This window comes from Homo sapiens, chromosome 3 (genome assembly GCF_000001405.40).
Source record: "Homo sapiens chromosome 3, GRCh38.p14 Primary Assembly".
In the NCBI taxonomy this organism is placed as follows: domain Eukaryota; kingdom Metazoa; phylum Chordata; class Mammalia; order Primates; family Hominidae; genus Homo; species Homo sapiens.
In genome coordinates, this window is record NC_000003.12 from 155831763 (window position 1) to 155845288 (window position 13526).

The 13526-nt window shown below is 38.7% G+C and overlaps 1 protein-coding gene across 13 annotated transcripts in view; it reads right to left on the reverse strand.

Moving 5' to 3' along the window:
- Nucleotides 1-13526, reverse strand: part of SLC33A1 (solute carrier family 33 member 1) — a 33404-nt gene that overhangs the window by 10739 nt on the left and 9139 nt on the right. For 4 of the 13 annotated variants that reach the window (NM_004733.4, XM_017007463.2, NM_001190992.2 and 1 more), the window contains exons 2-4: nt 10670-10857; nt 2095-2279; nt 1706-1823 (exon numbers count right to left, since the gene is read on the reverse strand). In NM_004733.4, coding sequence (NP_004724.1) covers nt 1706-1823; nt 2095-2279; nt 10670-10857 — 491 coding nt within the window. Of the gene's footprint in view, nt 1-1705; nt 1824-2094; nt 2280-10669; nt 10858-13526 lie in introns of those variants that run through there. The other 9 variants (XM_017007464.2, XM_047449200.1, XM_047449199.1 and 6 more) reach the window with 5 other exon arrangements.

Consider the following 13526-nt stretch of genomic DNA (forward strand, 5'->3'; position numbering starts at 1 on the left):
CAAAACAGAAAAAAAAATTATATTTGACAGTTTGGCCTCAATAATTTTATAAGCATAGAATTTAGTCTGACAGGATCCACTACAGATTTCTCCTAAATGATTTACTGTATGCACAAAACTACTGAGATTACCTGGTAGTCATATTTTTACGTTTCAGTTAAAAATTAATTCATACATTAGCAAATATAACTTTCAAAGGATATAAGCTAGAAAAATCCAAAGTGACTCAGAAATATGCATTAGCAATAACTGCAGTTAAGTCCCAAAGGTTACTTCTGGGCCTTTGCCATTTACTTGAATCACTTGCATCCAGAACAAAAAAATCTCATTCTGGGCCAGGCGCGGTGGCTCATGCCTGTAATCCCAGCACTCTGGGAGGCTGAGGCGGGTGGATCACCTGAGGTTGGGAGTTCTAGACCAGCCTAACCAACATGGAGAAACCCCGTCTCTACTAAAAAAATACAAAATGAGCCGGGCATGGTGGTACATGCCTGTAATCCCAGCTACTTGGAGGCTGAGGCAGGAGAATTGCTTGAACCCTGGAGGCGGAGGTTGCGGTGACCTGAGATCGTGCCATTGCACTCCAGCCTGGGCAACAAGAACAAAACTCTGTCTCAAAAAAAAAAAATCTCATTCTGCAACAGCAGCTTAGGCTAGAGCAAAGTGGGGATTCCTTCTTTTAAGGATTACAAACATATTTAACAAAGAAAGAAAAAGCAGCTTGACACAGCTTTCAAAATCATAAAGAATAAGTCAAAACTTTCAATATAGAAGCTAAGCCAGGGCCGGGTATGGTGGCTCATGCCTGTAATCCCAGCACTTTGGGAGGCCGAGGTGGGCGGATCACTTGAGGTCAGGAATTCAAGACCAGCCTGGCCAATATGGTGAAACTCTGTCTCTACTAAAAATACAGATAATTAGCCGGGCGTGGGCAGTGGGCAAGCAAGCCAGACTCTGTCTCAAAAAAAAAAAAAAAAAAAAAAAAAGCAGAAGCTAAGCCAGAAACTAAGACCAATACTATTTCTCAATACTTTCAGAAAGAAAAGATATTAGGAATTCAAGAAAGAATGAACTGAAACCTAGGGATAAACTGAGAAATATTTAGCAAGAGTAGAATTTGCTGGCTTTGGAATCAATTCTAAAATGTAACAAATACTTGTTGAATAATTTTTTTTTTAATGAATGAATGAATAAGAAAGTCTCTTTCAGCCGGGCGCAGTGGCTTGCACCTGCATTCCCAGCATTTTGGGAGGCTGAGACAGGTGGATCACAAAGTCAGGAGTCAAGACCAGCCTGGCCAATATAGTGGAACCCTATCTCTACTAAAAATACAAAAATTAGCCAGGCGTGGTGGCACGTGCCTGTAATCCTAGCTACTCAGGAGGCTGAGGCAGGAGAAATGCTTGAACCTAGGAGGTGGAGGTTGCAGTGAGCCGAGACTGCACCACTGCACCCCAGCCTGGGTGACAGAGCAAGACTTCATCTTGGGAAAAAAATAAATAAATAAATAAAAAAGTCTCTTTCTATGAACAGCAGAACTCATTAAGTGAAAAGTCATAAAGTTTAAAGCGCACCATCAATAATTTCTTCAGTGTCAGATTCATGCTTAAAATTTATTATCATTATTTTAAGACAACTGTAGAAAGCTGTCTTCCTTATTTTACACAGAACAGTTTATTTCCTGAGAAAACCACTGCAAGCTTACCTGATGTAAAGCATAACTCAGCAGGACTACGATATAGTAATATATAGGGAATCCCCCTTGATGTTCTACTTTAGGAGTCCACCAAACCAGTAGGGCATATTCTAACCCAAGCAATAATCTATAGAGAAAGAAACATTGAGTTGACTTCCATTTTAGCTTAAATAACAACAACAACAAAAACAGAAATCCGTGTGCCTACCATATGAAAGAAGCTGTATCTAAACCTGTTAGGAGGTTAAAAAGATAAAAGTGCATATAAATAATATTGAAAAAAGATGCTTTTCAAATCTTTTTCCATATATATAATTCTACGCTCAGATATTAGTGGTATTGATGAATGTTCCTCATTTTACCCTTTCTTATTTAGTAAGGTTTTATTTCATTTTTACCTGTAGGGCATGGCTTTGTAAAATGTGTTTAATGGCTGGGGACCTGCAGTGTATTTGCTGATAATCAGAGGCAGTATTATCTGCAAAGGAACCATTGGAACTGCCAATAAGGCTAAATGTTCTTTGGGTACTCCCTCTTCTACCAATTTCAGTCCTGTTACAGCATCTGCTGCTGAAAAACCAATCTGCAATATAAAAACAAAAAAGTATTTTAATTCGTGACTTATGAAATATTTTCCTCCATGCATATGTAAGTTCTTCAAGAACCTCAATTTTATTACTGACCCATGACAGTTACAAGTGAGCATCATATTATTATACCTGGTACAACAGTCAAGTTATACGAGGTACATTTTGCCTTATGGTTTTCTAATAATATTAAGTGAAAACAACTGAAAATTCAGTACTGGTAGGGATGGTAGATGGCTATAAATACAACTAAATTTCCACTTCAAAAAGTCCAATGTGTTATAGTAAACGGGGTCAAAAATCCAAATTTACCAATTTGAAAGTTTTAGGTTTAAAAGAACTTAAGCCTTTAATTGACCCAAATCAATCTGGTTAAAATGAAGCATAACTGCCAATATATATATACATTTTTAATGATTTCTGACTGACCATAATAAAATTTCCTAAGTTCATCTAATGTTTCAAAAGTAATTCTGGGAAAACGTATCTGAGAGATTGAATAAAATGAAAGGGATAAAGTATAGTTAGATTAATTCTTTAAAACAGCACAAAAAAGAGTAAGAATTAAATTAAGATTATTTAGATAGCCTCAAAGTATCTCCCCATGAGTCAGTTTTTAATTACAAAAGAAAAAATAGTACTTTTACAATAGATTAGCAAAGCAATTAAAGTTAAAAACAGCAGTTAAAGGGATAAAGAGACATGATATGGCTTTCAGTATAATTCCCTGCAGACATCAAAACATTACTTCTTTGATCTTCCTGTCTTATATACCTGAATAACCTCAACCCAAACAAGAAGAAACATGAGAGAAATGTAACTAGAAGCCCATTCTACAGCATAATTGGCCTGTATTCTTCAAAAATGTCAAGGATATTAAGGACAATGAAAGGCCATACCAACTGAATGCAATGTGTGATCCTAGATTAGATCCCCAACAAGAAAAAAATTAAAGTTATAAGGACTGTTATTGTGTAAAATTTGGATATGGACTATAATTAGACAATAATATTATATCAATTTAAAATTTCCCAATATTGAGTTGTGGTTTTGTAAGCAGAAAACTTGTTCTTAGGAAATACATACTTAAGGTACTTATGGATAAAAGTGCATAATGTGTACAAATTACTCTAAAGTATTTCAGAAGACATATGTAATGGATATACATAGAAAGAGAACATCTACAGAATAAGGAAAGTGTAGCTAAACGTTAATAATTAGATAATCTGGATAAAGGATATAAAGGAGTTCTACTAATACATTTTCAAGAAGTGTGAAGTTATATCGATACAGTAGGCAGAAAGAAATTATTTAGGCAGATAGTGAGGGCAAAAGAGACCTCGGCAGAGCTTCCCTTCTAACAAAAAGCGGCCCCCAAAATCATTTCTTTTCTAACGAAGAGCAGCCTGAAAAACTTGAGTTGCAAACATAGATAAGCAAGCTGGAAGCTTGCACGGGGGAATGCCAGCAGCTGAACCAACAGAAAAGGGCTACCTGGGAGCCAGGCATGTCCACCATGAAAGCTCCACCTTCTCTTTTTTGTTAGCATGTGTACAGTAAAAAAATGGGCAACATGGTGCAGCTCAGGCAGAGAACCTGCCTGCATGATAAAAAATTAGGGTGGGGGCTGCCAGAAATTCATGCCCTATATAAATGGTGCACCTGGACCTTACCGGTTTTTCATGCCCTATTTAAAACAGACACTGCCTCCCCACTAGCTCATCTAAAAAACCCCTTGCATTTCACCACAGATCTGGCAACACATTTTTCCAGGACACCTCTCTGTAGCACAGAGCTATTCTCTCTCTCACCTACTAAACTTCTGCTGTTAACCTCACTCTTTGTGTGTCCACGTCCTTGATCTCTGTGGCTGTGAGACAGCAAACCTCAGGTACTACCCTAGACCACAAGGCCACTTCAATATCACACAATTTTTTTTTTTTTAAAGAAATTATAAGGCCAGACGCGGTGGCTCATGCCTGTAATTCCAGCACTTTGGGAGGCCAAGGTGGGTGGATCACGAGGTCAGGAGATTTGAGACCATCCTGGCCAACATGGTGAAACCCCATCTCCACTAAAAATACAAAAACTAGCCAGGTGTGGTGGTATACGCCTGTAGTCCCAGCTACTCAGGAGGCTGAGGCAGCAGAATCGCTTGAACCTGGGAGGTGGAAGTTGCAGTGAGCCAAGATCGCGCCACTGCACTCCAGCCTGGTGACAGAGTGAGACTCTGTCAAAAAAAAAAAAAAAAAAAAAAAAAAAAAAAAAGGAAAGAAAGAAAAAAAGAAAGAAAGAAAAATTATAAATAGTATACACGGTAACTTCTTGGAATAGAGCCAAAGAAAATTTCACCATAAAAAAAATTAAAGGTAACATATATTTCACTTAAGTCCAGAAAATAATTTCACTTACATTTTACTCATTCCCTTTGTAAAAATAAGACATACAAACTGACTTTAATGTTTAATCTTAAAATGTTAAAAAAGTCTTAAAAGTTATATAGTAGGAGATATTTGTAATACACATATCTAATAAAAGACTCAAATTCAAAATATATTTTAAAAAGTTTGGTCTGGCACAGTGGCTCATGCCTGTAAGCACAGCACTTTGGGAGGATGAGGCGGGAGGATTGCTTCAGCCCAGAAGCTCAAGACCAGTCTGGACATCATAGTAAGAACTCTTTTCTACAAAATATTTTTTTTAATTTACTGGGCGTGGTGGTGGCACATGCCTGTACTTGGGTGACTGAGGTTGGAGGATCACTTGAGCCCAGGAGGTCAGGGCTGCAATGAGCTGTGATGGTGCCACTGCACTCCAGCCTAGGTGACAGAGACCTCATCTCAAACAACGAAATCTAAACAGAAACAACAACTTTACAAATTTAAAGAAAAGGGCAACTTTGGATATTCAAATGGTCAATAATCACATGAAAAGATGCTCAATTTCTTTTGTCATTAGGGAAATTCAAATTATGGCAATAACAAGATGCCATTACACAACCACCAGAAAGGCTAAAATTAAAAAGATGATATACACCAGGTGCAGTGGCTCACGCCTGTAATCCTAGCACTTTGGGAGGCCAAGGTGGGTGGATCACAAGGTCAGGAGATCGAGACCATCCTGGCTAGGTGAAACCCCGTCTCTACTAAAAATACACAAAATTAGCTGGGCGTGGTGGTGGGTGCCTGTAGTCCCAGCTACTTGGGAGGCTGAGGCAGGAGAATGGTGTGAACCCAGGAGGCAGAGCTTGCAGTGAGCCGAGATCGCGCCACTGCACTCCAGCCTGGGGGACAGAGCGAGACTCCGTCTCAAAAAAAAAAAAAAAAAAAAAGATAATATATGTGTTTTCAAGGATGTGAAACTCCTTAAAATCAGAACTCTCTTACACTGCTGGTGGTAGGGAAAATTGGAACAACCACTTTGGAAAACTATTTGGCAGTACAAAATACTATGCATCTTCTATGAACCAGCAATTCTATTCCTATATATTTACCAATGAGAAATGTGCACCTATCTTCACCAAAAGTCACGTATGTGAATGTTTGTAGAAACACTACACATAATAGCTCTAAAAATCTGTTGATAGAATGGATAAATTGTGGCATATCCATACAACGGAATACTATACAGTAATGAGATAAACAAACTATTGCTATAAATAAAAATATGGATAAATTCCACAAATATAATATTAAGCAAAAGAACATATGCATCAAACATAAAAATATATATTGTATAGTCCATTAATATATAATTCAAAAGGAAAGAAAATTAATCTGTAGTATTAAAAGTTAGGAGATATGTTATTAGGGGGGAAGTTTAAAAGAAGAAAACAGTATTATAGACTTTGTAATTGAAGTACCTCCTTATATATTGCTGGAGACAGTATAAATTAGTATAACCTTTTGAAAAGCAATTCAGCAATCATATTACATTCATTGACCCACTAATTGCCTGCTTAATAATCTATTGGCTGGCCAGGTGCAGTGGCTCACACCTGTAATCCCAGCACTTTGGGAAGGCCGAGGTGGGCAGATCACCTGAGGTCGGGAGTTCGAGACTAGCCTGACAAACATGGAGAAACCCTGTCCCTACTAAAAATACAAAATTAGCCGGGCATGGTGGTGCACGCCTGTAATCCCAGCTACTTGGGAGGCTGAGGCAGGAGAATCTCTTGAACCCCGGAGGCAGGGGTTGTGGTGAGCTGAGATCATGCCATTGCACTCCAGCCTGGGCAACAAGAGCAAAAATCCATCTCAAAAAAAAAAACTTAAAAAAAAAAAATCTATTGGCCAGCCTGTATAGCAAAATGAGACCCCCATCTCTACAGAAAATGTAAAAATTAGCTGGGTGGGTCAGGCGTGGTGGCTCACGCCTATAATCCCAGCACTTTGGGAGGCAAAGGCGGGCAGATTGCCTGAGCTCAGGAGTTCGAGACCAGCCTGACCAAAATGGTAAAACCCTGTCTCTACCAAAAATACAAAAATTAGCCGGGTGTGGTGGTGCACACCTGTAATCCCAGCTACTCCGGAGGCTGAGGCAGGAGAATTGCTTGAACCCGGGAGGAGGAGGTTGCAGTGAGCAGAGATCCCACCACTGCACTCCAGCTTGGGCAACAGAGAGAGACTCTGTCTCAAAAAAAAAAAAAAAAAAAATTAGCTGGGTGAGGTGGCAAGCAGCTATAGTTCTAACTACTTGAGAGGCTGAGGTGGGAGTCTGGCTTAAGCACAGGAGTTTGAGATTACACTGAGTTATGACCATGCCACAGCACTCCAGTCTAGACGACAGAGCAAGACCTCATCTTAAAAAAAATAAAAAATAGGCCGGGTGCGGTGGCTCACGCCTGTAATACTAGCACTTTGGGAGGCTGAGGTGAACAGATCACCCACCTGAGGTCAGTAGTTCAAGACCAGCCTGGCCAACATGGTGAAACTCTGTCTCTACTAAAAATACAAAAATTAGGCCAGGTGCAGTGGCTCACACCTGTAATCCCAGCACTTTGGGAGGCCGAGACGGGCAGATCACCTGAAGTCGGGAGTTTGACACCAGCCTGATCAACATGGAGAAACCCCATCTCTACTAAAAATAAAAATGAAAATAAAAATAATTAGCCAGGCATGGTGGTGCATGCCTGTAGTCCCAGCTACTCAGGAGGCTGAGGCAGGAAAATCGCTTGAATCCAGGAGGCAGAGGATGCAGTGAGCCAAGATCATGCCATTGCACTCCAGCCTGGGAAACAAGTGAAACTCCGCCTCAAAAAAAAAAAAAAAAAAAAAAAAAAATTAACCATTTCACTCCAGCCTGGGCAACAAAGCGAGACTCTGTCTCAAAAAAAAAAAAAAAAAAAAAAAAAGTCTACTGGAAGGAAATATCCAGAAAATCACAGACTTATGCACAAAAATATTTGCTAGTGCATTTTTATAATTTAAAAACATAAGCAAAATAGACAACAGAAAAATGAGATTACGGAAAATTTAAATTTAACACACTAACTATATCATGTAGCTACTAACAAGTATGTTTTCAAATATGTAATGCTATAGAAATGTTTGGTATAAGACAAAGAGAAGATAAAAAATTATATATGATTCAATTTCACTTTTAAAGTAAATAAATAAGTAGGCCGGGCATGGTGGCTCACACATGTAATCCCAGGACTTCGGGAGTCTAGGCAGGTGGATCACTTGAGGTCAGGAGTTTGAGACCAGCCTGGCCGACATAGTGAAACCCCGTCTCTTCTAAGAATACAAAACTTAGCTGGGTATGATGGTGTGTGCCTGTAATCCCAGCTACTCGGGAGGCTGAGGCAGAATTGTTTGAACAAGGGAGGCAGAGGTTGCAGTGAGCAGAGATCGCGCCACTGTACTCCAGCCTAGGCAACAGAGTGAGACTCAGTCTCAAAATAAAATAAAATAAAGTATATGAGTAAATAAATATATGAAGTATACGTATACACACATACATGCACACACACATATATAGGGAAAAAAGGGAGTTTCAAAGGAAATATACCAAGAAGGTCAATACTGTTTTTTTTTAATTAATTTATTTATTTATTTTGGGGATGGAGTCTCACTCTGTCACCCAGGCTGGAGTGCAGTGCGTGATCTCGGCTCACTGCAACCTCCGCCTCCCGGGTTCCAGCGATTCTCCTGCCTCATCCTCCCGAGTAGCTGGGCTTACAGGCGCCTGGCACCACACCCAGCTAATTTTTGTATTTTTAGTAAAGACGGGGTTTCACCATGTTGGCCAGGCTGGTCTCGAACTCCTGGCCTCAAGTGATCAGCCCACCTTGGCCTCCCAAAGTGCTGGGATTAAAGGCGTGAGCCACCACCTCCAGCAAATACTGTTTATCTTAAATGAAAAATTATTAAATCATATAATTAGATAATATTGTTTGGCCAGGTGGGTGGATCACCTGAGGTCAGTAGTTCAAGAACGGCCTGGTCAACAGGGTGAAACCCTCTCTTCATTAAAAGTACAAAAAAATTGCCAGGCGCGGTGGCTCATGCCTGTAATCCCAGCACTTTGGGAGGCCAAGGATAGATCACCTGAGGTCAGGAGTTCAAGACCAGCCTGACCTACATGGAGAAACCCCATCTCTACTAAAAATACAAAATTAGCTGGGCCTGGTGGCATGTGCCTGTAATCCCAGCTACTTGGGAGGCTGAGGCAGGAGAACCGCTTGAACCCGGGAGGTGGAGGTTGCAGTAAGCCGAGATAGGGCCATTGCACTCCAGCCTGGGCAATAAGAGTGAAACTCCATCTCAAAATAAACAAATACAAAAAAATTAGCTGGGCATGGTGGTGCACACTGTGGTCCCAGCTGCCCGGGAGACTGAGGCAGGAGAATCGCTTGAACCCAGGAGGCAGAGGTTGCAGTGAGCTGAGATTGTGCCACTGCTCCCAGCCTGGGTGACAGAGCGAGACTTTGTCTCAAAAAAAATATATATATATATTGTTATGCTCCTTGAACTTTTCATATTTTCTGAACTTTCCATTCTTTTTTTTTTTCTTGAGACCCCTGTCTCAAGAGAAAGACAGACCCCTGGCTCTGTTGCCCAGGCTGGAGTGCAGAGGCATAGCCATGGCTCACTGCAAACTCCACCTCCCAGGCTCAAGCTGTCTTCCTACTTCAGCTTCCCAAGCAGCTAGCACTCCAGGCACATGCCACCATACCCAGATAGTTTTTTTATTTTTTGTTTTGCCATATTCAGGCTGGTCTTGAACTCCTGAGCTCAAGAGATCCTCCTACCTTGGCTTCCCAAAGTGCTGGGATCACAGGCATGAGCCAGCACATCTGGCCTTCTTTCTATCATTAAGAGGAAAAAACACTCACTATTTAAAATGAAAACAATGAGGCTAATGGTTCCTTCAAAACTGTCAAAAGATAGGTGCAAAGTGTTTATATACATAGATTTAAGTATATAAAATGAAAATCCTATAAGATTGCAGATTTCAGAAATATTAACTCCAACACTAGCAATAGTTCACTGTAACAAAATATACTTACCTTATTCTAGCCTAACATGTTAAAAATATTTTTAGAACTATAAAATTGAGACACCTTAATATAGAATAAAAGTCACCAGTAATCCCCGTTTCTCGTATAATTTTCCTTTCAGTACTTAAATAATTCAATGGATTTTTAAAAAATTGACTTCTAATACTCATATACTTCTATATCTTTTTATTTATTTATTTATTTATTTATTATTTTGAGACAGAGTCTCGCTCTGTCGCTCCAGCTAGAGTGCCGTGGTGCTATCTCGGCTCACTGCAACCTCTACGTCCTGGGTTCAAGTGATTCTCCTGCCTCAGTCTCCCAAGTAGCTGGGACTAAAGGCACGTGCCACCATGACCGGCTGATTCTTGTATTTTTAGTAGAGACAAGGTTTCACCATGTTAGCCAGGCTGGTCTTGAACTCCTGACCTCCGGTAATCCACCTGCCTCGGCCTCCCAAAGTGCTGAGATTACAGGCTTGAGCCACCACACCTGGCCCTATATCTTTTTACGTCACACTCTTAGTAAATAATTGTATTACTACAACATTAAATGTATACTCATTATAAGAAGACAGAGCTATTGATTTTTAAAGATATTAATCTCCATTCCAAGCATTAATATCATTAAGGTTCACATTTACTAACAGTTCTCCAATGGACATAATTCTTTACAATACTCCAAGACATTTAGCTTACTTTAAAATTAAAGTTGATATCATTACATCTTTTCAAATACATTTAATAAACAGAAAATATTGTTTTTCATTGTTAAATTCTAATGGTAGTGGAAAGGGACCTGTGATATGAAAAAGGCATTGTAAGTATTCCATGATATTGATACTTATAAGAAAATGATAAATTTGATTTATAAATCTCTTACCTTTGCAGTTAGAATCAGAAGGCAAAATGTCAGAACTGCTGGCATTTTTATAATTGCAAAAAGCAGCTTGTAAGTATCTGTGATCCCTTGTGTTTCTTCTTTTACTACTGATACTTCGTTTTCTTTTTTCAGAAGGGCAACCAATGTTGTTGTTATTAAAAATACAGTTCCCCAGAAAAAAAGGAAATCTGAAAATGTTTTAAATCTATAATTAATTTTTAAAATTACATAATTTCATTGATACTAAATAATTCTATATACAATAACTTTCAATTAAAATGTTATTTAAAAAATTAGCCAAGTACAGGTGCTCATGCCTGTAATCCTAGCACTTTGGGAGGCCAAGGTGGGAGGATTACTTGAACTCAGAAATTCAAGACCAGCCTGGGCAACATAGTGGGACCCTATCCCTACAAAAAATAAGAAATTAGCCAGGCTTGGTGGTGCACATCTGTAGTCCCAGCCACCTGGGAGGCTGAGGACTACCTGAGCCCAGGAAGTGGAGGCTGCAGTGAGCTGTGATTGTACCACTGCACTCTGGCATGGCCAATAGAGTGAGACCTTGTCTAAAAAAAAAAAAAAAAAAAAAAAGTCAACATTTAGGTACCTCTTTATTATATTCAAGGCATTGTACCAGGCACAGCAAATGAACAAAACAGTCCTGACTCTTAAACGTAGAGACCCAAAATAGGTGACAACAACAACCAAAAAGGCAGGGGGTGGTGAGACATTACATTTAGTGTACAACTGAGTTGAATGAACAAAAGCCTATCATGTCACTTTATTCAAGGAAAGTGCTAGGGGTGGGAAATGATTTTCATATCCCCTAAGATCCATCAGTTACATTTCTTATATACCCAAGCCTTTTCAGTTCTTTATTAAATTTGACAACAGGTGATTATTTACATCAGATTTTCTACCTTATATTTTTAAACTTTCTAATGCTTTCAATCTGTTTAAGAATAACCTTCTCATCTCAATAATATGATATAAAAGGCATTTGCTCACACTCGTAGGTGCAGAATGAGGACCCATGAAGAGTACTGTCTGGGTTGTTTCAGTGAAAGATAGTTGAGCCATTAGCTATCACCTTGAACAAATTTAGTGGAGGGAGTAAATAATGGTCTGGAAGATTCTGCTAAACAGCTAAAAATAATAGTAATAATGGAGGTATCATTTATTGAGTGCATACAACGTGACAAAAATATGCTAAGCATTTTACATGTATCAACTCCTTTACTTCTACAGCCCAATAGATCCTTTACTTCACCAGCCCAAATTTACAGGTGAACAAACTAAGGCTTAGGGAAGTCAAGCTGTCCAAGTTACATTCTAAGTCAGTGGTAAAATTGTGATTTCACACCTTATAAGTACAACTAATTTCAAAACTTGTATCTCATTAACCACCCTGAGAATTGCATTTCAGTTTGCCACTAGAAAACTTATTAGATAACCCTGTCTCAGTTTCTTCATCTGTAAAAGAAGATTTGGCTAGAAAATCCTTGCATTATAGCTCAAACATTCTAGACTTGTGCTCCATTTTAGATGCTTTTACTTTTTATTTTATGGTGTATGTGGCACAACTGATCAAGGACCCTAAGTCACCTCTTCTCAAAAACAATTAGAATATTCTTCAGTCAGGGTTTTTCCTTAGATTGAATCTTGCTCTTGCTGCTGTGCTCACTGAAGGTGATCACTACAGTTTGAACCTCACTTACGAGGCAGAAAGACAGCATTATTTGTTTAGATCAATTTCGCCTTGGTATTTAAATATTCCTTTCTTATATGTTATCTCATTTGATTCTCATAGCAAACAGGATAGGCTAAGCATGTGTTATTATTAAATACAGACGAGGAAAAGAAACTCAGAATACTTAAATATTTACCAAAGGTAAAAATCACTAAGAGGCAGAGGCAGAGGCAGAACTTGAATCTCAACCTCCTGAAGTTGAGTCTTACATTCTTTTCATAATTTTACACTGCCTACATAAAGGTATATATATATATATATATATATATATATATATTTTTTTTTTTTTTTTTTTTTTTTTTTTTGAGACGGAGTCTCACTCTTGTCAGGCTGGTGTGCAGTGGTGCAATCTCAGCTTACTGCAACCTCCACCTCTCGGGTTCAAGTGATTCTCCTGCCTCGGCCTCTGTAGTAGCTGAGATTACAGGCATGTGTGCCACTTTACCCAGCTAATTTTTGTATTTTCAGTAGAGACGGGGTTTCACCATGTTAGCCAGGCTGGTCTCGAACTCCTGACCTCAAATGATCTGTCTGCCTTGGCCTCCCAAAGAGCCAGGATCACGGGTGTGAGCCACCACGCCCAGTATAAAATAACATCTTAACATAATTTCTAGCATTTTGGAATCTGGTTCGAAAGGAATGAACAATAATGTATTAATAACATTATCCTTATAAGTGAGGCTAATGTCCACTTTTTTTTAAGTAATAAATGTTTAATCAAATAATTTTACATATTATTAACAGCATTCACTTGGCATGTCCACTATTTTTGCATTCTTAATTCCATCTGCAAAATGAGATGAATAATGACTTCTTTAGAGTTTCACGTACAATACTATTCTCATTGAGCAGGGTTTTGGTCATCATCTGTTTTAAAACAGTTGTTTAACAAGCCCTGAAAAAAAAATAATTTTCACTGTCACCAAAATTCCAATTAATGTTAAGCGAAAAGTAAAAGTTTTCCAGTTATATAAGACTTAAGTAGTTCCATTTTTCTAGGCAAAAGAATTGTAAATTTGTTTAGCATAGTCTACCAATTTTAATAAACACAGTCCATCTAAAATTTAAATTCCTTGATACCAATACCAAGAGAAAAAAGAAGAAGAA